The 27,358-nt window shown below is 35.4% G+C and overlaps 1 protein-coding gene across 9 annotated transcripts in view, besides 1 other annotated feature; it reads right to left on the reverse strand.

Moving 5' to 3' along the window:
• The window catches only part of ZBTB20 (zinc finger and BTB domain containing 20), an 832,789-nt gene that overhangs the window by 474,847 nt on the left and 330,584 nt on the right, over window positions 1–27,358 (reverse strand). For 8 of the 9 annotated variants that reach the window (NR_121662.3, NM_015642.7, NM_001348801.3 and 5 more), the window contains one exon: window positions 11,755–11,828. The exons of the other annotated variant lie outside the window; for it this stretch is intronic. The gene's annotated coding sequence lies outside the window, so the exon portion shown is untranslated. The remainder of the gene's footprint in view (window positions 1–11,754; window positions 11,829–27,358) is intronic. 9 annotated transcript variants of the gene reach the window in all.
• Window positions 20,545–20,724: an enhancer, noted in NCBI's record as "active region_20278". NCBI's record gives its function as "activates an Ori minimal core promoter by ATAC-STARR-seq in GM12878 lymphoblastoid cells {active_cell/tissue: GM12878}" and the evidence as "EXISTENCE:reporter gene assay evidence [ECO:0000049][PMID:35858748]".

Below are 27,358 nucleotides of genomic sequence, written 5' to 3' on the forward strand. Positions count from 1 at the left end.
TTTGACTTCACTGAATTGAAAATTTTAAGATGAAACAGGAGTTGGGTTCCTATAAGCGGTTAGCGTGCAACTAGACTCCATCTTTTAACAACCAAAGCAGAACATCTGGGTGGGTCCAATGCATTAACATTTTAAAAAAACTTTATAGGTTTTAATATGCAGCTAGAATTAGGAACCTCTGAGACAAAATGATCCTGAGTTGGGGGAGCTAAGAGTAAACAAGTGAAGGTAATTTTAAAAGCCGGTTAGGGCCTGGAGCATACTGAGATGAAGGGAAGAGAAATTTAGAATTATAAATAGCAAAAGATCCACTCAAGCTAGAAAAGATTAAGTATCCTTTTAGAGTTAAGAGTAGAAGAGGCATCAGTTACAAGGATAATTAATATCTAGATTATAAGGATCTGCTATTATAAAACTTATACTAGAACAAAAGTCATGAAAATGGTCTGCGGAAGTCATGAGGTGAGAAGAAGATAAACAGGTAAATATTTAAGCAGATTATAGAGTTCTGGAAATGTCATCAAGTCTCTTGATTGTGTATATTTTTGTTCCATTTAAACACTTGTCCTGAGGTTTATAAGTGAAACATGATGTAATTTATCATCTAAGTAAACATTTATCTTATACACCAAAGCACGGTGAATACACACACACAAACACACACACACTCATACACACAGACATTTTCATTAACAAGAACTAGTACCAACTACAGCTCAGGAAATATTTGTTGATTAAATGAATCAGTCTGCTTACAGTATGCATTTTCTTTTGTGCTGCAGAAGTTGCAATACAAATGAAACTAAAACTTCTGTGTGCTGATTACTTTTCTCAGTCTGCTTATCTGAGAATTAAAGAATTTTTAAAACAATTTTATGTATTAATTTGCAAACTTCTTTAATAATAGATGTTCATTGTAACTGGTGAAACAATAAAAGCTATTTAAAGAAAAAATTAATAATCTTTCCTGATTCCTTTTTTTGTTCCCAACTCTGTGAAATAACCAATGTGAAGAATATGGTATGAATTATTTTCTATAGCTTTCTTCATGTTCATATAAACATACGCAACATATTTATTCATAAATACTCATTACCCTGAAAATTATGGTCATTCTTCCAGGTTAACAGCTATAGATATAATTCATTCTTTTCCTAATGGCTGCATTATCTTCAATAACATGGATGAATCATCTGTCCATATCATATGATATGCATGTAGTCCAATTCAAGAAATCAGTATACTTTTTTTTTTTTTTTTTACAAATTTTACTAAAAGTATTACTAAATTTTTACACAGGATGCTCAACAAACACTGAAGACCTATCTGGTACCAGCTTTGGTGACCAAGAAAGAAAATCAGTGAGGTACTCCTGGTTTTTTGCCCTCCAGAAAGTCACTGACTATCATAGGGGAGACATAACAGTAAGTTTTTTTTTTTTTTAATTTGAGAGAAACTTCTCAGAGAATTTATAGTAACAAATGCTTTTAAAGCAACTATTTAAAAGAAGTAATATATCACTAGCAATTCATTCTTCATTGTTTCCAATGCATGATCAGTATTTAGTAGCAACAGAAGACTTCCCTATATGATGACTCAAAAACAAATTTCCAACCACTAAGAACTCAGATAAAGGACCTTACTCTTGAGACCTCAAAGTGATTTACATTTCCACTAGTACTTCTATTGTAATATATGATATTTATAAACTAGCCTTATTCCATGGAACTCTAAATATTTAATGCTTCACATATATCATTTGACTTTTCTGCATGTGTCATTAAGATAGGAGAAAGTGTCCCCTACAGATAAGGAAAATGATGTTAAGACAAAACTGACAACACCTGAATCAAGTCTCCAGATAGCCCCATACTCTTTCCTTCCAATTATACTTGCTGCCTTGCTAGTGGTAAGCAATGATAACGTAGACAGTATTATGTCATCAATTAGAGAGTCTCACTTAGCTTGATATAATCAGTTTTTATTTAAAAATGAGAGCTTTCCATGCAAACTGTTTTTCTATCTTCTAAAAGGCTTGTGACTAAAACTTCACTGACAAGTTTTTCAGGTGAGATGAGTGTAGGTTAACTACTGAGCAGCCAGAGTCTAGTCAGGCCCCTCACACTTTCCAGTGCTACAAGAAGATGAGCAGATGTGGGGTTAGATGTGGAACCCAGGTTCATAGCTGTACCTGCCAACCCTAACCTAGAGAAGGGAAGAGAACACTGATGGTAACCATGGCAACAGTAACAATGCTACACATCTATCACTTATTGATTATCTAACAAAGTCTTAAAATATCAAGTAATGTAAGCAAAGAACAATTCAGTGAAATTTTAGCAAAGGTTAGGCAAATTTTATATGGTCAAGATAGTACATTTGCAAACAAGTAGAAGACCTTGTCAAAAATCTAAATCTTCTAATATCCAGTAACTCTCTTGTCTGAGCCAATTTATTTTCCTACATCTTTGAAGACATTTTATTAAAAAAGGTTATAACTGAGAATTCGACAGTAATCAGAAGAGTGATCTTCATTCTGTATTCAGTGTCTCTTGACCCCCTGAAAGAATCTCAGCTCAGCATGGCTTCCTCCCTTTTCCAGTTGACTCAGAGAACGGTGCTTTCAAATTGCCTTTTGGGATACATGAAGGGGTGCATTTAGAGCCAACCTGAAGTGTAACACTCTTTATTGTTCCTGAGAAACGTGTGCCCAATTCCCTAGAAATTTACTGTTTCAAAGAGTCACAAGCTCCTGATTGCTTCTCATCAGTCTTGAAGAGATTAGATAAGCTTCCTCCCTCTTACAAAAGCTTTTTCTTCATTCAAAATTCCTTTGAGAACAAAACATTGAACCAGAATTGGATTTTTAACAAAATATTATAAGATTGTTGAAAACATTTTTTTTTCTCCTGAGGAGACCAAACAATTCAAAAGATATATTAATGCACATTCTGATTTAGGGCTACTAGCAACATATTGCAAAGAGTAAGGTGGTGCCAAAGAACAAAGTCCCTTCTGCTAAGCAGGAAAGATATTTTTTAACTGCCTTACTTTAGAAGATTTCAATGGACTGCTAAGGGCTTTCACACAGATAATCTCAGAAGTCAAAGCTCAAGAAGTAGGGGGAAGAAACAACTACTGGAGGACCCTAACAGGTAGCATTGCTTCTAATTACCGTAAAATTGTTATGTATACTGATGCCCCACATCCCATTCCCAGACTCAGATAATTATTCTACAGTAAGAGTTGGCTTTAGAATACTTGTTCAAGTGTGTCAGTAATAGAAAATGACCTCTTCAGAAATGGGGGTGTTTACATGCAGTGCTCCTAAAGTTGGCACACATGGAAGGTAATTCAGGGTTATGTTTGCAGTGGCACCCATCATCAGCAATGTTTCAACCCCCGTCCATCTCTCTGTCCTGGTTTTACCAAGGGATTCACTTCAAATGTATTCCTCACTGGTCTTTAGAAAACAGTGCTAGCAATTCATAAGTATGTTTGAATTTTCAAAGTTTTTCTTTTTCTTTTTCTTTTTTTTTTTTTTTTTGAGATGGAGTCTTGCTTTGTTGCCCAGGCTGGAGTGCAATGGTGCGATCTCAGCTCACTGCAACCTCCGCCTCCTGGGTTTAAGTGATTCTCCTGCCTCAGCCTCCCAAGTAGCTGGGATTTCAGGAACCTGCCACCATCCCCAGCTAATTTTTTTTATATTTTTTAGTAGAGACAGAGTTTCACCATGTTGGTCAGGCTGGTCTCGAATTCCTAACTTCAAGTGATCCATACGCCTCAGCCTCCCAAAGTGACGGGATTACAGGCATGAGCCACCGTGCCTGGCCCCAAAGTTTTGCATTTTGATAGCAGCAATAAGGCTGAGTACCTTCATAGGCCTTTACCTCTGATCACACTATAAGGCTTTAATTAAGTTAGTCTTAAGAAGAAAAATGTACACCAAACCCCAATTATTAAACATTGGAATTATTCCTTCTTATTGGTCTAATAATTACAATTTTTTACTTCTCATTCATTTTTCAAAGGTTTTTTTCAGTAGATCTAGGTTATTGGAACGATTATATGTGATATGATGGGGTATTGGGCACAGACACAGTAAATCAAGATGATGCAGAAATGAAAGTCTAATGCTAAAGATCTTACCAATCTTCCCAGATCCCCATTTTTCAAAGGAGGAAATGTATAGAGGACATTACATTTATTTCCAGCCATTATGATATAATTATAAAGCCAACCTCTCAACGCACTCTCTCTTTTTGGGAAGTCTATGACAGCAGGTATTACAATTCTACTTTGCCAGATGAGGTGCGTAAACCATAGAAAACTAACTAGCATCCAAGAGAAGAACAGACTTGGATGTGGGTAGAATAATAGGAAGAACACTTACAGTCAGATATATCAGAGTATGAATGCAGGCTCAAGCTTTTTTCCACTAAAATGTATACAGCAATGTAATCTCACTGAGCCTCAGTTTCTGATACTGTGAACTAAAGATTATGACATCAATCTACAGTCAATGCTGTGAGAATTAAATGTGAAGAGTTTTATGGAGAGGGCATCTGCTAAATGTAACTATTTTTCTTACCCTCCTAAATTTTTTCAGTCTTTTAGACATTTGGGCTATTAGAGAACTAATGACCTCTGTGACCACACTAGCTTAGGCTATAACTAAATGCAACAGATTTAAAAACACCAAGCAGGAGATAGCACAGAGTTTGAATCAGTGAGGTCTAATAGTAATACAAACCTCACTTACTGGCTTTGCAATTTTAGATGCTACTTAATCGTTCTGGGGCTCAGTTTTTTCATTATAAAATGGGAATGGTTCCTACTTTGCTGGGTAGTTGCTGAGTGTGGTAGCAAGGATTACAGACAACTCTTTATACAGTATCTGGTATATTAGGTAAATGGATTGTAATATATATTGTTCAGATTTTTTATTAATTAAGGTTTGTACATAGACTCATCTCCTGCACTTAATATTTCTTTTTCTACACAAGACCTTGAAAGGGTTATGATAGGGGCTTTGATCACATATTAGCTGGTTTGGCTGTGGTAATTTAGCTCCTGAGTATTGGGATTACAGTACCAGCCCCTGCCATTGACTATTTAACTATGACTTGGATAGGAATTCTAGGCCTGAATTTTGTTCGTCTCCAAAATGAAGAGGTTAGAATAAATAATTCCTAAGATTCCCTGTCGCTATAACATTTTCTGGTTCCAGGGTCTTTTTACTGAGCTATAGCAGATAAATCCTCATATCTTTAGAGCTTAAGCTACTTCTCTATGGTTTAATTTCCACATTCCCTCTACTCTATTTCTTCTTTAATTGCAAAAGGGGATAATTTCCATCACTTTGCAAACAAACCAATATCTCTATTCTGGCTTAGTGGCATACCATGTTATTAATGCATCATACTTAAAAAAAGCCTGGATTGTTCTTCAATCCAGAAATCCAGTCATGTTGTAGGTAGTAATAATGAGAATAATGATGATTTATTTTCAAGGTTTTCTATGCCTCCAGGTGCCCGGTCATTGCACATGATAAAATACACCAAAATTAAAAATGAGATTAAGGTTTAACAGATAAAAAATACATTCTAGGAACAAAACACATTTTTGGTATGCATCTCTACATTACACAACAGCCACTTAAAAATAAACAAAAACAAGAAATCCGTTAACCAACAACAGAATTTTAATAATTATTAACTAGAAAGAAAATAAAATTAACTTGACCTTATCTTAGAAGGTTGTCAGAGATCTACTCTGTTTATGCAAGTGAGAAATATGTTTTGAATTATAAGACCTCTATTTCAGAAGTCCAAGCTCTCCTCAAACTCAGAGGTAAACCTTCAGGAAGGATTTAAAATAAATGTATGGATTTTGTTAGCATGTGTATATTATTTACCTTTGAATTAATTTTGATCTTGTCCTATTCTTGAGCTATCCTTCAATTGGTATTTTTGTGTGTATCTACTATGTGCTTTCCCACTGCATTCAGAATAAAATTAAAATTCCTCACTCTGGCATTTCTCTGACCACACCTCCAGCCATTCTGCTTTGCTCACTTTGCTCTGGCCACTCTGAAGTCCTTTTAGTTCTTTGAATACAGAAAGTCTGATTCAAAGCTTTGCATTTGAATACAGGATTTTGTATATGCAGTTTCTGTCTGGAGCTTTCTCCCCTCCCATACTCCGTTCTCTACCCCAAATTCTTCACCTGGCTGATATTATTTTCTGTCCTTCAATGTTCAAATCAAAGGACACTCTCTCTGAGAATTCTGTCCTGAACACCCAAAGGACAGTATAAGAGATTTCCCCCACTCAATGTTGTCTTGCATACATAACACTTTATGTGGACCACAGCTTGTAATGTTGTAATTATGTTTGCACTTATTACATGTCTAATTTCCTTAGGAGACTATCAATTTCATGATGAAGGTCTAAGGGATCATTTCTATATTTCTACTATTAAATATAGTTGAATAATGAATCAATGATTCTATTGTGGTAGACTCAGTAGGGCTAAGAAATGTTAATTAAATATGGACTATTCCCTTAAAATTTTGTTTTCTAGTAAAGGAATAAGGCATACACATAAAGTGCTATAAAATATAGAAAGTAATTCCTGTCTCAATAAAAGTGTAGATGAGTATTGCATTAGTTTCTTAGAGCTGTTGTGACAAGCTACCACAAGCTTGTTGGCTTATAAATAATACCCAATATTTATTATCTCACAGTTTTGGAGGCTACAAGTCCAAAATCAAGTTGTCAGCAGGGTCACTACAGGTGGTAAGTAAATTTGATAGTTAGGGGAGAGTGGATTGTTTCTGTCCAGGTCAAGGAAAGAAGGATTCATGAAATTCATAACATTGGAAATGAACTTGGTAGGATGGGTTGGATTTGCATATGAAAAAATTGAATGATGGACATTCCAGATGCTGGAACAATATGAATAAAGGTGAGTAAGAGAACTCGGCCTGAGTTTATAGTACATACAACCCGGTAGGTGACAATTAACTAAGAAATGGGATCAGAGTTAGATTTTAGGATGTCATGTATATTGATTAGGGATTGTTATACACAGAATTATTGAAAGTTTTATCTGAACAAAGGCGACATAATCTTAGTACTCCTATATTAGGAAAGTTAATGGGGCAGCAGTGTTTAGGATAAACTGATCTCCCTGCTCCATCTCTTTCAATTAGGAGATTTTTGTAAGCAAGAGAAGATAAAATCCTGACTGGAACAGGTATCAAAGAAAGAGAATAAATGAGACTTGGCCACTTACTGGACATCTAGGATGTATTAAGAGGAGGAAAGAATGATATATTTTGAGTAAAGATGTCCTAGAGAATTGGAGTTAGAGAAGCTAGGATAGTCAAAAGCAGGATGGTTTTTAAGTAGAAGAATAAATTAAGTTTTGATATGCTGACTCAGAGAAACTAGTGTGATTTCTAGTTGAAGATTTAAATAAGGATGTTGGAAATATAGGACTAAAGTTCTGAAGACATATCAGGACTGGAGATATAAATTTCTGAGTTATCCATAGTGAAATAATTGAAGTCATGTAACTCTGAGAAGCTGTGTCAAGTCATGAGAAGAGTATGAATGTGGAGTATGACAGATGTGATCACATCCTGTGTCTACTATTTACCTGTTGTATATCCTGGGGCAAATTGCTTAACTCCACCATTTTCTCATATATAAGGAAGAAAATAATTTTATCCCTTAATTAGGATTACATGAGTTAAATATTTAAAAGCTCTGTCATGTTTAAGCTGCTTTTATATTTTGGTGCATAATTCTCATAAGAAATACACTTATTTTGCCATCTAGTATCTTAAAAATATGTGATGTGCTTTAAAAAATATTTATTTTCCTGTGATTCTAGTATATGTGATCTTTTAAACTTTCATGACCTACTAATGCGTTGCAACCCACACTTTGGAAAACTGATCCTCCCATACATTATGGTTCTCATCCAATTCCTCCTCTAGTCACTGTCCCCAACAAGCATTCTATGTTGAAATCACACCAATACTATCAATGTTCTCCTGACTTTCATTTATTACTCCCTCTTCATAGGCTTCTTGCTAGTATCACATTATTCCTTCATGGCCTAGAAAAAAATGATAACCATTTACTTCCTCTGCTATTCCATATAATGTTTTGTCTATAAGAAAGATGCGATTTTCCCAGATAAATTATGAATTCCTTAATAACAGAAAATATGTGTTATTTATCTGTGTATCTTGGTAAAATATTTTGTTATAGGAGGCACAGAACATTAATTCATTATTATAAAGGAAAGGGAGAAGAGGTTTGAAGAGAGAACTTTGTTGAACATCTACATCTAGGACCCTGCTCTGGTATCACCATGTCTCGATTCCTCCTTCTCTATATGCCAAAGCTTCCATGGAATTTTTAAAGGGCAGAACTATTGTCTCTTTGTCTTTGAGGCACAAAGACTTAAGGCCACTAACTTTCAGTACATGGTGGAGAGAGGGAAGACCTGGATGGGTTAAAATAAAGGAAGAAACTAGAAAATGTCCAGAATTTAGCTTTGGGTAAAATAACAGGTTTTTACCGTAGCCTCTTTGGATTGGTAAATGACAGAATCCAATGAAAGCAATGTGAAACAAATGACCAGAGCAAGTAATTCATTTTAAAATATTAAAGCTTATTTCTTTTTTTTTCTGACTCTGGAAAACTTTTCTCTGATGGAAATGACCCCTGGCAACAGTGACATTCTGACACCATGCGTCGTACACACCCTTGGGAAGTTTGAATTCCACACCACTATGGTTCTGTTCAGATTACTGGTTTCATCATGTCTGTAAGCCCAATTAAACTACTGAAGTTCTAATGGTCTTATGTCCACTTTGTAAATCATCATAAAGAATATTAAGTCAACCAAATAAATTTGCCTCTACAGGACTCGTTGCTCAACCAAAGGCATGATACTAGGAACAAAATTAAAAAACAAAAAAACAAAAAAAAACACACAAAAAAACCTCTTTTGATAACAACCAATGTTTTCAGGATACTCCTTTATATATGAATTTGAGATTCTGATGAAGGGGACTACAATTCAACAAGTCTCAAAAAATGAGCCCAAGGCAATTTGCTCCTCAGGAAACATTGCTTAGACCCTGATTGTAGTGGAAAGATTGAAGCCTCAGATTGTAAATTCAGATAGACTATCACGTCTAGGTCTCTAAGGATGATCTGCGATGGTGGTCAATATGGTTTGTGTAACCTTTGTGCCCTACCCTGTGCCTCAATTTGCTTATTTAAAAATGAAGTCACTAGACTTTGTTTCTTACATCCTTTCCCACTATAATGTTTGGTGATGCTCTGCCCTTACATTTGCCTAAACTTTTCAATCTTAAAATATATAAAATGTTTTTATAAAATTCTTTTATGTCCTTAAATGTTATTGAACATGATAACAGTAGAATTCACTAAGCCTAAATTTCATCATTTTAATATTGCCTCAGAGGTCAAGTTTTATGAGAGCCTTAATTTGCATCACCAGAAGCTCATTTAATAAAAATGAAAGAATCCCTTTTGGAAATAAATTTTAAAAACTGATGGTGGGGAAGAGGGGCAGATAAATGTATGTAAAAAAGAAAAAAAAACAACTTAGAAGGTGTCAAATGGTTCTGAGTTCTAAAGAATATTGTGGTCATATTAGTGTTGAAAAGTTGGTCCTAGCTTTTTATGCACTAAAAGTACATTCTGCTAATGGTTCCTTCCCAAATCCCTGGCCTCTTGACCCAATACTTATTGTACCACTTGTCCCATTTCCCTGAAACAAAATCTATAATATGGCAAGACGAACTGAGGTATCAGAGCATCATCTACCCTGGAATTGGGCATATTTATTTGTGGAGTTGATTCTAGTGTGTGGGATATAAAACACACAACTTAAGTGGAAAAATGCTGAAGACCATTTCATAGGTGAAAAGGATGTGGTATGAATGGTCAATTCTCACTTTGGTCAGGAAAAAGAAGTGTAAAGTCAATGAGGTAAGGGGCTGGGAGATGGATACCTCGTATGATATGATAAGCAGAAAGGTTGTGTTTGGCAAATTCCTTTATCATCTTCTTCCTGACTGTCAAAAACTGTATTCAACCTGTGTTTACAATAAATATTCTCTGACAGAATGAACCCTGGATTTCTGACTTTTAAAAAGTTTTGAAATTAAACTAATAGCAGCTATTTCATGATTACCTATTATTGTGCCAAGGGTTAGAAATTACAAAAATGAGTAAGAAAGAGAGAGCCCCTGCTCTTAGAGACCTTACTGTCTGTGGGTTTGAACTGTTGTAGTTATGACAACAATAACAATAACTATCATTTATTCACTCATACCAGCCAGGCACCATGCTCAGTGGGCAACATACACAAAGTGCCAAAGTCTCCTTCATTTCACCAGATGCAATCACAGTAAGGTAACCTTGCTCTGTCCGTGCATCATCGCTTAACAAAAATGAACTTAGCAGGAATTCAGACCATAGGCAGAGACATATAAGCAACTCCAGAACTGTCTACTGTCAACACACAAGAACTACAGTCAATAAAGAGTGCAATGAACTACAGTGAAAATGGAAGCAATTGTCTGAATCACCTTTAGTGTACTCTGTTGACTGGGGGCTGTGACACTCTAAAAACCACGATACAGTAGACTCCACATCTGGCATTCCAACAATAGAAGGGTAAGTGTTTTAAGACTCTTAGCGAAAGAACTTGCAATACATTAAACTGTAAAACTGAGGAAGACATCATAAGCTTCTGGATTTTATTACCAAAATGTACATTTTGATCTAAAATTAAAAATAAAAACAGATTGACTTTCCTTGTAGTATTTCACAACCTTTGAGTGCAGCATTAAAAATGCTTTTCTTTTTTTTCTTCACCAACTATAAGCTTCTGTTTTCTTACCCTGGGCGTCTGAATCTTTTATATGCTTGGGTTCTATTCACTGCCTGTTATTCAGACGTTGAAATCCCAAATGTTAATTGTTCTTCCAAGTACATTGACAAAACAGCAGCTAAATAAGGGTAGACCAGACTGTGGTAGACTCTGACATGCATTTATGGAACAATGGGGCTCTGAGAGACAGCCTTGTAGCTCACGGGAAGACATAAGATGTGCTATTTTGACTGCTTCGTAGCAGAATGGGGAACACACGCACACAAGGGAATTATGCATTTTACTTAGTTTTGCCCAAAGTCCTCAAGGCAACAGAATCTTGTGATGTCATCATGAACTTTCTTTCTCTCCATTTCCATTGACACAAAGGCTAAAAATTTCTAATGACATCACAAAGGAAAATGAAATCTACTTTGATTCCAAAAGAAATCTTTTACCTTCAGTGAGACTAGTAAAAATAAAATAAAATAAAATAAAATAAAATAAAATAAAATAAAATAAAAAAGCAAGAATCTTTCCAGACAGGGTGTGTGTCACTGTGCTCATGCACAGTGGGTGACACCCTCCCTAATGAAATTCAAACCAGCCAAAAGAAAGGATTCACAATTTAGGTTGGATAAAAAAGACATACTGAATATTGAGACCAACAACTTTTTTTTTTTAAGAAGAAAATCATTTAAACATATATTTCTTCAGGGACATTCAAATTTTTACTCATGTCTGGTTACTATGTTACCAATGTTTTTGTCCTTTTTTGGGTTGGTCACAGAAACACAGAAGAAGGTACAGAAAGCTTTGACTTACAGGAATACAGTGCAGCTCAATCTTTTGTTTTTAAGGTGCAGTGATTTCAGTCTCTAAATGTAACTTCAGGCAGTCTGAAAAGAAACAGGTTAAAATCTCTTTCAGTTATAATTGGTATTTCAGATTTAATTAAAAATTAAACTTTCATAATGTTTCACCATCCAAAGCAATGCATTATCAGTCAAGCGTGGCTTTTCTTTTTTTCTTTTTTTTTTTTTTTTCTGTTAAGGAAAAAAAAAAAAAAGAAAAAACCCTCTTCCCAGAGTAGTTTTTTAATGAAAAGAAAAGGATCTAAAGAGGAGAAAAAAAGCAATTCTGAAAAACAAAATACGCCTCCATGTTAAGGACTTCATAATGATATGACTAGAAACTCAATGTTTCTGAATTTTAGCTATATTCTGATTAAAAAAAAACTCCTAAACAATTTCTACAGCCTAAAGATTACAGAAAATATTAAGTTCAGGGAATAAAGAAGAAAATCTATGGGTCTGAATACACATATTAAAGGGAAATTATGACTTCAAATGGAATTGTAAGAAATGCTAGATCTCCTACTTTCCAGTGACTGAATTGCTGGTGAGGTAGATGGTGAAGAAGGGCTAAATAAACATATTTAACAACACAAAATGGCCATTGAAATGTACTGTATTATGGGTTTAGCGTGCCCCATTTCACATCATATTGTACATCTTGTCACATGCAGCCACTGCTGTTTGAAGCAGCACAGGAAGACCAAGAGAGTCTGAACAACACTCCCTGGTTTAAGTAACTGTAAGCATGTTGCTTATTTTTTAAATATGTACTTATAATTCCAAATTAAGTAACAGTCCAGGCATTAAGAGCTCCAAGTATATAATAAATATTAGGCTTAAAATATTATACTATTTTTTGAATCATTTCTTTCTTCAAACAACACCATCTATAAATAATAGTATTTTTTAAATTAAAAAAATCACATCACACACTAGAATTAAATCATCCTTACTTTTAGCTTTGAAAAACTGATACAATGGGATTTAGAAAAATTTAGTTTTTAAAATATAAAATGAGGTAATATAATTCGCTTTCATTCACTTTACAGCGTGGCAGAATACTTTCTATATATTTATAACACTAAATGTCATATGTTTACATCCAATTTCACATTAGTGCAAGGTAATATTTTAATATTTCCCCATATGAGAGCATAATCACAAATCACCCCTTAAATTGTACTATTATTAGAAAGCATATGTAGTTCTTACTTGGGATTCCTGTTTTCTTTTTCTCTTGAAATGTATAGAGGAATATTTTGGGTAATTGGTCTATTTGATGTACATAGATTTTAAGCGTAAACATGCTCAGGTTCACAGTAAATTCACTCATGAATGAGATTAGATTTAAAAAAAATCACTGACATTGACTAACTAAACTTTTCCCCCTCCTCTCACATGCCTGAATTAGGCTAAAAATGAACCAGCGTAAAGGCAGAAATTATGGAGGCGTCACCAGGGACAACTGAATGAGAGGAGGGGAGTGCACATTATTTCCTTATAAGGCAGCAAAATATTCATAAAAGAAACTGACAAAAATAACTTGTGCTCAGAAATTATGAGATATAATATAAATATATTGAATAACAATAATCTCTGAAAAATGATTCAGAAATTTAAAACTGCCCACCTCTGGATAAATCTAATTCACCAACTGGCATTGTTCTACTCACCAACAAAATATGGTTAGCGAAACAAATTCATTCTCTAGTTTAGACGTGAAAAGGTGATAGAAACTAGGCTGAATATTTACATATAAACATATAACTAACAACTAGTAATTCAATTCATTCAGTCAGGTTTCCTTCTCCTCAATTTGCCAGATGTTGAATGAATTGAACTATCAGCTCAAAATAATTAAATCAATTATATGAATAGATGGTCAGTGTACCAATTTTCATTCCCCCCCCATGCCATTTCTCCTTCTCCTCTTTGATCTTTTTCTTCTATTTCTGCTTGTTTCTTCTCCACTTTCACTTTCTTTCTTATTCCTTTTTCCTTCTTTTTTTTTTTTCTCTTGGTGAGGGTAATGAGGCTCAAAAATAACATCTTGTATCCTGTTGAGGGAAACTTGGTCACAACTATCCTTCCAGATGACAAACTCATTCTTAAATGTCTGTTTCCCAATCCAAAGAAAACAGAGCAATTGAAAAAATAGAGACTCAACATCACTTACAACTACCAACACCAGCCCTCTTAATTCCCATGCTGTACTACTCATCACGAGGAGAACTGAAATTTATTTACATTATACCTAACCTCAAATAGGACCACAAATAAGACTAATAACAGGACCATTTTGTGGCACTCAGGCAAACGGCTGGGCAAAACAGATGGATCTTACTTTGCGCCAGGACTCAAAAAATATAGTCGCCAACTCACTGTTGGCGACTACATATCTTGGCCCAAAGATGGACCTGGAAGTAGGACCAGTTGTCTTTGATATGAATAGTGCTCCTCTTCTTATCTCCTCATGGAACAAATCAGTAACTCTGTCACTATATAGTGGGGTTATCAGGTAGAATTGCTTAAAAGACTGGTCATCAAGGATGTAAAATATTCTGAGGGAATGTCAGGTGAGATGAAGGAACAGAAAGTCAGGACAAATACCTTATTTTTGGCACTTTTGTCTATTTTCAACTTTCTGTTTTTTTTTTTTTTTTTAATTCAAATTCACTACTGTACACTGAACCCACCTTTAAAATAGATTTCAGAGTATGTGTCATCAATAAGAAAACTTGTTTCTCACATTTCAGGTTCCAAAATCTGTTAAAATTTTAAGTCACATAGATCAATCTCAGTCATTATTAAAATTGACCACCAGTGTCAGACTTCTTTAATTGGAAGAAAACTATGTAAGGCTTTATAGATTACAGTCAACATCCAATGATGCACTGAGCAACAGCTCCGTAATCAATGCAATATACAAAATCCGGAAGAATGCTTCTCTGGCAGAGACCCTTTAGCAAAAGAGTTGTACATTCTGCACTCCTTAAAGATTCTGAATGGCTTTCCAGAGAAGTAGCAAATGCATTATATTGCAGTAACCTATCTTGTAAGTCACAAGGCCACAAACAAAGCCTCTAGTCAATAAAAAAACAAAACAAAACAAAACCTGAAGGGGGGTGAGAACTACAGATCTTACCATTGACTACGAACAAAGGGCTGCTTCTGACCACATTCTACTTTCTAAAATCCTCACACAGAAGGAGTTTTAGATATCACCAGGTCACAGAACTTCAAGGAAAGAACAACAAAGCATTCCAGCTTAGGAGGTCTATGTTAATTCAGGCACTTCTCTTATTGCTCTTCCAACTATTCAGTACTGACTGTATCTTGCTCAGATTGCTTTTGAGAGTTCACTCATCTCTCTATAATTTATTTATTCAGACATTGTGCAGATTTGATTTTTAAGAGACAGCCCTGTTTGTGGTCAGCATAGAAGGCTAATTATAATACTTTAATTATTTATTTTAGTATTTTTTTCTTTCCACTATTTAAAAACTTTTTATTATAAAATATTTCAAATATATGAGAGAGGGCAGAATACAGAAAAATGAACTCTCCAGTACCCATCACCCATAGTCAATTGTTTTTCCAATTATACTTTCACCTACTTTTTCTTCCACCAGAGCATCTGAAAGACAATCCCAGATAGCTTATTATTTTATGCATGAATACTTTACTATGTGTTACTGAAAGATGACAATCATAACTAATATCATTCCACATCAAAAATAATAGTAATTCTTTAATGTCATTAAATATCCTGTCCATGTTAAATGATTGACTTTTAAATGGTCTTTTCTTTTTATAACTGGTTAGTTTGAATCAGGATCTAAATAAGATGTACACATTATATTCAAACGATAATTATCCTTTAATCTATAAATTCTCCATTTGCTTTTTAAAATTTTAACTTTGTATTTTGGAACAATTTTAGAATTATGGAAAAGTTGCAATGATAGTACAGAGAGTACCCATATTTCCTTCACTAGTTTTTCCTAATGTTACTATCTTACATAACCATGGTAAATTTGACAAAATTAAGAAATTAATATTGACACAATACTATTAACTAAACTACAGACTTTATTCAGATGTCACCAATTTTTCCATTAATATGTTTTTTCTGTTCCAAAAATCCAATCCAGGATACCATACTGCATTTTAATTGCCATGTCTCCTCAGTCTCTTCTGATCTGTGATAACTTCTTGGTCATTCCATGTTTTTCATGACTGATAATTGTGAAGACTAGTGGTCAGATATTTTGTGAAACCTTTTACAACTTTGATTTGTCCAATCCCGTAACTAGATTCGGATTATAGGTTTTAGAGAAGAATACAAAAGAGGTGATGTGCCCTTCTTATAACATCAAAGGTATATGATATCTCGGGGTATGTTAACCTTGGTCGCTTGCTTAGGAGAATGTCTGCCAGGTTTCTCTATACTTAGTTTTAATAAACATAACAGTTTATTGAGATATAACTTATATAACATACAATCCACTCTTGTTATGTGTATAACTCAATGACATTAAGTAAATTTAGAGTTGTATAACCATCACCTCAATTCATTTTTAGAATATTTTTGTCACCCTACAAAGATCCTTCATACCCTTAGGGAGTCAATCCCTAGACCCAGACAACAAATATTTTCTCTCTCTATAAATTTGCCCTTTTTGGATATTTTTATTAATGCAATCAAATAATATGTGATCTCTTTCATGTAGCTTTTTCACTTATCATAATTCATTTTTAAGATTCTTTTATGTTGTGGCATGTAGCAGTAGTCTATTCCCTTTTACTGATGAATACTATTCCACTGCATGGATATAACACCACATTTTATTTATCCATGCATCAGCCAATGGACATCTGAATTGTTTCCAGTTTTTTACTGTTACGAATAATGCTGCCATGAACATTCACATAAAATACGTCTCTGTGTGGACATATTTTTTTTCCTCTTAGATACCTCAAAGTGGTATTGCTGGATCATAAGGGTAAGTTTATTTTAACTTTTAAGAAACTTCCAAACCACTTTCCAAAGTGACTATACTCTTACATCTCCCCTGGTAATATAGGAGGCTTCTAATTTGTCTTTATCTTCCAACACTTGTTACTATCTGTCTTTATTACAGCCATTCTAGCGGGTGTGAAGTAGTCTTTTACGGTTTTAATTTACTTTTCCCTGGAAATAATAATGTTGACCATGTTTTCAAGTGCTTATTAGGCATGACTTCATCTTCTTTGGTGAATAACTTCGGTGAATTGTCAAATATTTTGCCCAGTTTTTAGCTGGGTTGCTTGTCTTTTTATTATTGAAGAATTCTTTATATATTATGCGTAAAAATTCTTATCAGATTATGATTTGCAAATCGCAATCTTGCAAATATTTTCGCCTGTCTTTGGTTTGTCATTTCATTTCTTTAATGGGTCTTTTGAAGTGCAAAAGTTTTAAATTTTGTTGACATCCTAATTACCAAGGATTTTATTGAATCAAGCTTTTGGTGTGATAGCTAAGAACTTTTTCTAACCCAAAGTCATGAAGATTTTCTCCTGTTTTCTTCTAGAAATTTTATAATTTTAGCTCTCACATTTAGGCCCATGATTAAATTTTTGTGCAGGATATGAAATAAGAACTAAAATATGTTTTTTACAGTCCTAGGTTCGTGAATATTCATTTATATCGCATATAATCCTAGCATCAATTACAGAGCACTGCTTATTGAAAAGACTATCCCTTCCCATGACAAATTGCCTTGGCACCTTTGTCAAATTTAATTGATCAAAAATATGATGAATTTTCTGAACTTTCAATTCCATTCCATTGATCTGTATGCCAATATCATACTCTATAAAGTAAGTTTTAAAACCAGAAATTGTACGTTATCTAATTTTGTTTTCCTTTTTCAAAAGTATTTTCACTATTTTGGATCTTTTGCATATTCGTGTAAATTTTAGGATTAGCTTGTCAATTTCTGTAAAAACGCCTTTATTCTTTTTGACAGGATTGTGAATTGAACTGTTTTCTTAATTTCATTGTTTGTTGCTAGTATACAGAAATATAATTGATTTCTGTACAATATCTCTTCTTATATTCAGTTAACTTGTTGAATTCCTTTATTAGTTCGTGTGTGTGGTGGGGGAGGTGTATGTACATTGCTTAGAATTTTCTATGTACAAGATTATATTGCCGGCAAATAAATAGTTTTACTTTTTAATTTCCAATCTGTATGCCACTGATTGTTTCTTTCTGCTGGTCTGTCTAACCCTTCTCTTTCCCTTCCCCTCCCCCTCCCCTGCAGCTGCTGCTGCTTCTTTTTTTTTTCCTCTAATTTGCTTCTCTCTCTCTTTCTTACATGTATTTATCATTCTGCACTGGATTGAATCTCCTGTACAATGTTGAACAGAAGACATAAGAACTGACAACCTTGCCTCTTTTCCGATCCTAGGAGTGTATCGGTCAGGTTTTCATCATTACATACATTATAAGTTCTTCATAGATGCCCTTTGTCAGGTTACAGAAGTTCTCTTCTATTCCTTTTGTTGAAAGATTATATCACAAATGGATACTGGATTTTCTCAAATGTTTCTGTACATCTATTGAAATGGTCATGTGTTTTCTCTTTTATTCTATTAATATGCTATATTGCATTAATTAATTATTGGATGTTAAGTGAAACTCACATTCCTGGGATAAATCCTCTGTGGTCAGCACTGTATAATGCTTTTCTACTTTGCCACATTTGGTTTGTGAATATTTTGTTGAGTTTTGGTGTCTATATTCATGAGGGAATCTGGTCTGCAGTTTTCTTTCATTGTGATGTCTTTGTCTGGCTTTGCTCTCAGTGTAATATTGTACAAATAATTGAAAGATGACCTTTCTTGCTCTATTTCTAGAAAAGTTTGTGAAATACTGGTATTGGATAGAATTCACCAGTGGAGTCATCTACATCTAGGATTTTCTCCTAACTATAAATTGTATAAATTGTATGTCTTTTTATTACGAGTCTGTTCATATTTTCTATTTCCTCTTGAGTCAGTTTTGGTAATTTGCGCATTTCTAAGATAGTCCATTTTATCCAGCTAATTGCTAACAATTGTCCAGTTGCTAACAATTGTCTAATTGTTAAGCAATGACAATTGAGGTCAACCAATGATCAGTCACAGGTTGTATTTCTAACTATCAAGCAATGAAAAGGATTATGAGGTTATAATATTTGTTCATAGTATAGTATGAGATCAGGAATGAGAGAGAAGGTATCACCACCAACCCCATAGAAATGAGAATGATTATGAGGTTATACTATTTGTTTATAATATAGTATTAACTATAACTATACCTCATAATCCTTTTCATTTCTGTGGGGTTGGTGGTGATACCTTCTCTCTGATTCCTCATTTTGGTAATCTGTCATCTTCTCTCCTTTTTCCTTGATCAGTCTAGCAAAAGAAAAACTAAGTTTTGGTTGATCTTTTCAAAAAACTAAGTTTTGGTTTCATTAATTTTCTCTATTATTTTCATTATCTATTTCATTGATTTCTGTTCTTATCTTTGTTATATCCTTCCTTCTGTTCAAACAGAATTTAGTTTTATGTTTATATCATGTCTATACTTACCTAAATAATGACGTGATGAGGTCCTTTTGTTTAGGTGAATTTTAGATACATTTTTATCATTTCATTTCCACTTAAAGGATTTCCTTCAGTATTTCTGGTAAGGCAGGTCTACTAGCAACAAATTGTCTCAGTCTTTGTTTATTTGGGATATCTTTATTTTATATTTATTTTTGAAGAACAATTTTGCTAAATATAAAATTCCTAAATGACATTTTCCCTTTTTTTCCTTCAGCACACTGAATACGTCATCCCTCTACCTCCTGGCTTTGTTTCTAATGAGAAGTAAGCTGTTAATCGTAGTGTTGTTTTCCTGTATGTAACAGTCTTTTTTTTCTTGTTACTGTCAAAATTTTCTCTTTTTCATTCAAAAGTTTGACTATAATGTGTCTATGTACAGATTTTTTTTGTGTTTATCCAACATGGAGTTTTTGTGCTTCTCAAATGTGTAGATTAATGTTATTCATCACATTTGGGAAGTTTTTGGCTATTATTTCTTCAAATATTTTTGAGCCCTTTCTTTCTTTCCTCCTCTTCTCTACCATTACACATATGTTAGTATGCTTGATGGTCTCTCACAGGTCTCCGAAGCTCTGCTCATTTTTTCATTGTTCTTTTCTCTTCAAATTAGACCATTTCTATTAATTGATCTTCAATCTCATTGTGTCTTTATTCTGCCATCTTAAATATTCTGTTGAGATTCTCTTGCAATTTTTTAATTTCCATTATAATATTTTTTAACTCCAGAATTTTTGTTCCTTTTAAAATAACACTTATGTTTATATTGATACTCTCTATTTAAAGGGTAATTATAGTAATACTTTAATTATTTAACATGATTTCCTATTATTTTGAACATATTTATAATAGTGCTTTCAACTCTTTGTTTGCTAAGTTTAACATCTGCTATCTCCACTTCAACCCAAATATAATTTCTTTTTTTTTCTTCAGACACTTTCTTTTAACCACTTCTTAAATTGGGTATGAGTCACACTCCTGTTTATTACATGTCTCATTTTTTTCTTGAAAATTGACATTTTATATAGCATATTACAGCAACTCTGGCTTCTGACTTTTCCCTGTTGAGGGTTGTTGCTGTTATTGCTGTGTTTGTTTATTTAGGACTTGCCTAACATAACTCTGTGCAGCCTCTCTTCCCCATGCTGTGCCGCTGCTGATGTTTCTGCTCAGTTTGTGTAATTTCCATTTTCGTTTTTGAGCTGGGACTTTCCCCTGTGTTAACACAGTTTAGTGGTCAGCCAACGATCAGTCACAGGTTGTACTTAAACACCTAGGGCCACTATGCTAACGCCTCTAATTGATATATACGTGTGTGTGGGTTGTAGAATGCACTCAAAGTTCAGGCAGTTTACAAGTGTTTTTTTGATTTTTACTTTCCATTTGTTCTCTCTTATCTTCTCTCTGTGTGTCCAAAGCCTTAGGTCTTCCCCAGAGTATGTGTGCAGCCTTTCAGACCTCTAGGAATATGTGGTAGCTTACCAAAGTTCACTATGATAGTATCCTTTTCCAATTCTCCCTGCTAAATTTCTGGCCAATCTGCCAGTTCTTTTCTACTCTGAATTGTAACTTCAGGCTACATATGATGTTTATTCTCCCTGCTTGTTTGCCCCTGAGATTGTCACTGTTTTGACCACACCTAAGGGCATGGGGTTTTTCTATGTTCTGCTCCATCAAATTATCGAATCACCCCCTTTCAGCAGTGAAGTTGTGGGTTTTCATGACTTGTCCTGCCCTGGCAGAACTACTGATACAATGGAACTGTGGGGACGGATAATAGGAGGAAGCACTCCCGGCTAAAACACTGTGGGCTCCTAACTGTGCTAGTTGTCCCAACATAACTTTTAATTTGGCCACTTTCACTCCCAAAAGTATCCAGCTTCTGTGATATGATTTATGACCTTTTAATCTATAGTGGGCATAAACGACTTATGCCATATGCCATTTCTTCAGCGAATGACCACTGCCTAATTCTTTTCTTAGTAATGCAGGAATCAGGGGCCTAGCTGCAGGTATCCATGCATGTGGGGTGGCGGGGGGGAAGTCTAACTGCCATTGAATGAACGTTTTCATAATGGTTACATGTGTATAGAAAATCTTCAACTGCCCCTCCTACTACATCTCTAGAAAGTTTAAAGGTTTGGGGGGGATTAAGAATTTCTAGGGAAGTGTATGGGATATAGGGATAAGGTTACCAAAATTCTCCCATGGGAGATAAATAGTTTTGCCTCACTCTATAGAGTTTGGAGAAACCACTCAGCGAGAAGGACTAGAATTACTTTGGTTAATAATGAGTTGCTATGAACTTTGGAGCTGGACTAACCTATTCTAAGCAATTGTAAAGAATATGTCATTTAGACTTAATCTTATACAAAACAATAATAGCTCAGAGATCTAAGCAGGTCCAAATACTTACTTGGATCAGGTTAGTATTTGCCAGCTTATTTTCTCACAGATTCCTGGGCTCACTCAGGTTATACTTCCTTGGGAACACACAAAGGGAATAAGCTCCTTTTGGAACTCAAATAACTTGTAAATCAGAAAGTTCCCATATGGATATAGAGAATAATATTTACTATATAATAATTTTTCCTTTACATGATGATCCACAATAAAGTTCCCTTGAGAATACACTTCCCTAGAGCATTTAAATTATGAACGGATTTACAAAATAACTCCTATCACATGAAAAGAGATAAACATATAGTATCTGCTTCTAGGAATTATCTAAACTCATTTTCCTTCAGAGACTTAAATAGATGAAAAAAATCAGCAAACTTTGTTTAGGAAAAATTCAGAATGTATAAAGCATTAATTGTGAATATCTTACTGATATCTTTGGATCAACATAATACTTCACTTTTACAACATGTTGAGGAAATCAAAGTATTCACCAAACTTCATCTCATTAAAGTGTCATAACCTTTAATCTAGGAACCCGTAATAGTAAAGATTACTGTTTCTGTCTGGAAAACAAGAAATCTAATCCATGAAACAAAATCCTGAAACATCACATACATTGCTTAAAGATGTAAGTCTGAGGATGGAGAATGTGATGGAACTCCGTCACCTTGTTGTATAAGTGTGTCCGGAATTGGTGGGTTCTTGGTCTCACTGACTTCAAGAATGAAGCCGCGGACCCTCCCGGTGAGTGTTACAGTTCTTAAAGGCGGCGTCTCCGCAGTTTGTTCCTTCTGATGTTCGGATGTGTTCGGAGTTTCTGCCTTCTGGTGGGTTTGTGGTCTCGCTGGCTCAGGAGTGAAGCTGCAGACCTTTGCGGTGAGTGTTACAGCTCATAAAGGCAGTGTGGACCCAAAGAGTGAGCAGTAGCAAGATTTATTGCAAAGAGTGAAAGAACAAAGCTTCCACAGTGTGGAAGTGGACCCCAGCCGGTTGCCACTGCTGGCTCCGGCAGCCTGCTTTCATTCTCTTATCTGGCGCCACCCACATCCTGCTGATTGGTAGAGCTGAGTGGTCTGTTTTGACAGGGTGCTGATTGGTGCGTTTACAATCCCTGAGCTAGACACAAAGGTTCTCCACATCCCCACCAGATTAGCTGGATACAGAGTGTCCACACAAAGGTTCTCCAAGTCCCCACCAGAGTAGCTAGATACAGAGTGTCGACTGGTGCATTCACAAACCCTGAGCTAGACACAGGGTGCTGATTGGTGTGTTTACAAACCTTGAGCTAGATACAGAGTGCCGATTGGTGTATTTACAATCCCTGAGCTAGACATAGTTTCTCCAAGTCCCCACCAGAGTAGCCAGATATAGAGTGTCGATTGGTGTACTTACAATCCCTTAGCTAGACATAAAGGCTCTCCACGTCCCCACCAGACTTAGGAGCCCAGCTGGCTTCACCCAGTGGATCCCGCACCCGGGCTGCAGGTGGAGCTGCCTGCCAGTCCGTCGCCGTGGGCCCGCACTCCTCAGCCCTTGGGTGGTCGATGGGACTGGGCGCCGTGGAGCAGAGGGCGGTGCTCCTAGGGGAGGCTCGGGCCGCACAGGAGCCCACGTAGGTCGGGGGAGGCTCAGGCATGGCGGGCTGCAGGTCCCGAGCCCTGCCCCGCGGGAAGGCAGCTAAGGCCCGGCGAGAAATTGAGCACAGCAGCTGCTGGCCCAGGTGCTAAGCCCCTCACTGCCCGGGGCCGGTGGGGCAGGCCGGCCGCTCCGAGTGCGGGGTCCGTCTAGCCCACGCCCACCCGGGACTCGCGCTTGCCCGCAAGCACCGCGCGCAGCCCCGGTTCCCGCCCGCACCTCTCCCTCCACACCTCCTCGCAAGCTGAGGGAGCCGGCTCCGGCCTTGGCCAGCCCAGAAAGGGGCTCTCACAGTGCAGCGGCGGGCCGAAGGGCTCCTAAAGTGCCGCCAAAGTGGGAGCCCAGGCAGAGGAGGCGCCCAGAGCAGCCAGGACTGTGAGGACTGCCAGCACGCTGTCACCTCTTATAAGGTTATCAATAGGGCAATATCCAGGCTACAATGAAAAAGAAACTTGAAGTCTCGAACACCTATTGTGTATACATTAGAGTGGATTCAAAATAAATATTTAAACAGATTTCTGTTCCTGTGGAATGGTATTTTTCCAGCAAACCTCTCCAGCGATTGTTTTTATTAGGCTTTGCAATTTCTATAAAAGGATATCAACCCTGTCCCAACTTCATTACTATTTCTGCTATTAATTAACAATAAAAAAAATAGGCTAGGCATGGTGGCTCACATCTGTAATCCTAGCATTTTGCAAGGCTGAGATGGGTAGATCACTTGAGTCCAGGAGTTTGAGACCAGCCTGGGCAACACAGAAAAATCCTGTCTGTACAGAAAATGCAAAAATTAGCTGCGCATGGTGGCGCATACCTGTAGTCCCAGCTACTTGGGAGGCTGAGGCAGGAGGATAGCTTGAGCCTGGGAGGCGGAGGTTGCAGTGAGTCAAGATGGCACCACTGCACTCCAGCCTGGGTGACAGAGTGAAACCCCATCTCAAATAATAACAATAACAAAAAATAGTTGTATTTCAAGTAATATAATCTAGATAATCTAATATAATATAATCTAGATAATCTAGAATTCACTGTCATTCAATGAATTATATCTGTGTGAAGTGTTCTCTATTTGGTCCAAATCTTTTAAAAATGGGAATACTAAAGTTCACAGTAATAAGATGTTGTCAGTCTACATTGAGGACTACAAAGAAGCATTTCTATAAAATATCCTTTGTTGCTAATGAAAGTTAATATTTATCTTGATATTTACATTATAATACAGTGATCCCTATACATACTGAAGAGCATCCTAGAAAATTGATTTTTCTTAGTATAAGCATTGTATTTCTTTAAAATATATAATCAGAGCCCAATCTGTAAATGTAGGTAAGATCCTTTATAGGATGCTTTTTAAATGTAGGTCAAATTCTTGCCTCCTTCTCATGTTTTTCCACTGTTTACCCATTTTATTTTTTATTTACTTAATTTATATTATATATTTCACTTACTGTCATTTATATTTATATAAATATATTTATACATAAATATATTTATATTGTACATGTATGTATCATTTAAGCTATCTCAATTTCTTTTTGTAACAAAGAGATATCTATCTGTCTCTACTGTATATTTGTCTATCTACCCTTCCATGTAACAATTCATCTAAATTTACTATATGATACCCCAACATTTCAGATGCAATCTGAAAATAGCAACCTTAGATCCTCTATAAACTCATCTATGTTTTTGTGGTGACTTTAGTTTTCTTCTACCTTCGAAGCTATTCAAATCAGAATAGCCTCAAATCTGCCTTAAACTTGTCTGAGACAAAGTAACATATTTGTATCATCAGAGCTCAGTATTAACTTAAAGCTTAACTAACCACCTCTTTGCTAAGTCACCTGAAGATGATTCTTGCCTTTCTGTGCACGAATAAAATAATTTGGGACCTATGGAACAACACCAACCATTTTCAAATAACTAATAAGGCATATAACATAGAGCAGACACAACTGATTATATAGTTTGTACCCTGTCCAAGGCACCTAGTCCAGGAGTGTGTTTCACTCAATAACCCACGTTCCCTAGCCCAAGCTGCATCTGCTTGAGCAAAGGGTTTCTTTTAATAATTTGCACAAAGGTGTCCGAACAGGCAGCTTTTTTCTAAGTTGTATTGAAACTCCATATGAGATAAGAAAGGCCCTCTATAACATGTTTCTATAGTACTTCTAACAGAATATAATTAATTGTATTAATATTAGCTGGCTCTCTAGCTGTTACATGTAACATAAATATTCAGGTAACTTCCTAGTAATGACTAACCTCATGAGCTTAGGTCTCCATGACTTGCACTAAAGAATGCTTTAAAAATAGAATGTTAACAAGTTCGGAGACATGGATTATTTGTACAATAAAATACTTTTCTTTTAAATTTAGCTTCTGGCTCCCATTCCTTCAGGCAGATTTTATATATTAGTAGTTAAGTCTTAATGAATTATCTACAGGTAGGCTATACATAACACATTTTTACATTAACTTTTCGTGACTATGACATGAATACATGCCCATTGCAAAAACAAAATAAAACAGTACACTGAAAATATAGAAAATATGAGGAAAGATTACGAGCATCAATAGTCTGATGACACAGAGACAATAAACCACTACTGGACCTTCAGGATTTCATTCCAACGTGACACATTTTAATCCCAATTTGGCTTACCCATTTTCCCCTGCACACAACGAGTAGCCTCCTATTTTTACTATTTGGTATTGTGCTTAAGCAACGGAAATATTTCAAGTATTTCTATAGCAATTGTTTTCTATAAAATTAATTTAGTAATTGATCAAGTACTATCATATTTAATAGCCCTGCAATTGATCATTATTCATGATACTACTCATTGTTATTGCTTATTACTTCATGAATTTGGTTTTATTCAATCATGTCATATGGAGATTTTATACACACACACAAAACACGCACACGCACACACGACCGGCTACTACATAAATATTAAACCATTTCTCCGAAATAATATGGAGGTTAGAAGTAGCTTCTAGATGAACAAAATGAAATGGCAAATTTGATGCTTAAAAGTCAAAAATTTCATATCAATGCCAAAGATACATTATTTTAGATAACACTCTTTTTCTTTATTTTTATTTTTACTATCTTTGCTACAACACTACAACATTAATATGAAGAACTGAGAGTCAGCTACGCCTATAAAGGTAAAGTGCCATAAAAGCCCCAATGCATCTCTCTCAAGAGTCTAATCTTATTCTATCTGAGGAGCTATCCTCTTTCTGTGAACTCTGTCATGTAGAATTACATCATCTCCCATGGCTCAGATTATCTCCAATTTATAAAATGCTTTAACAAAAACTGTTACAAAGTGGGCTCTGTTATATATTCATATAACTTCCTCTTCACTTTGGTTAATACGGAAATACACAATACATCAATATGTTTCATTAAAACGATTGTTTTGATATAGTAATAAGCTGGGCAAATAGAGGAAGTATGCTGGGTGCAATTTATTTACATTTTAATAAGACCTCAAACAAATGATACCACACAGGAAGCTCAGAATTAGGTTAAGGAGAAATGGTGGCTAAAAAATGCCTTGAAGTTTGGAAGCTGTAAGTATTATCTAATCAATAGTATTACTTTTGAATTAAGATAGAATAACCATTCCACAGGGACAGGTATTGTGGTCTGTGACAAACATTATTCAATGCAGACATTAAAAATTTAGGGGAGATAGAAATTTTCAAAATTTGATAAAATTTTAAGACTAAACCTTAGAATATATGCCAAATGCTAAAGTTTAAAATGAATGGGCCTATGAAATAAAAATCTCATGAAAGCCCAAAGTATGGGAGTTTTCTTCCTTAATATACCAAAGCTTACTGCTAAAATCCCCATTTAATAGAGATGATAACTT

Source organism: Homo sapiens, chromosome 3 (genome assembly GCF_000001405.40).
Source record: "Homo sapiens chromosome 3, GRCh38.p14 Primary Assembly".
Classification (NCBI taxonomy): Eukaryota; Metazoa; Chordata; class Mammalia; order Primates; family Hominidae; genus Homo; species Homo sapiens.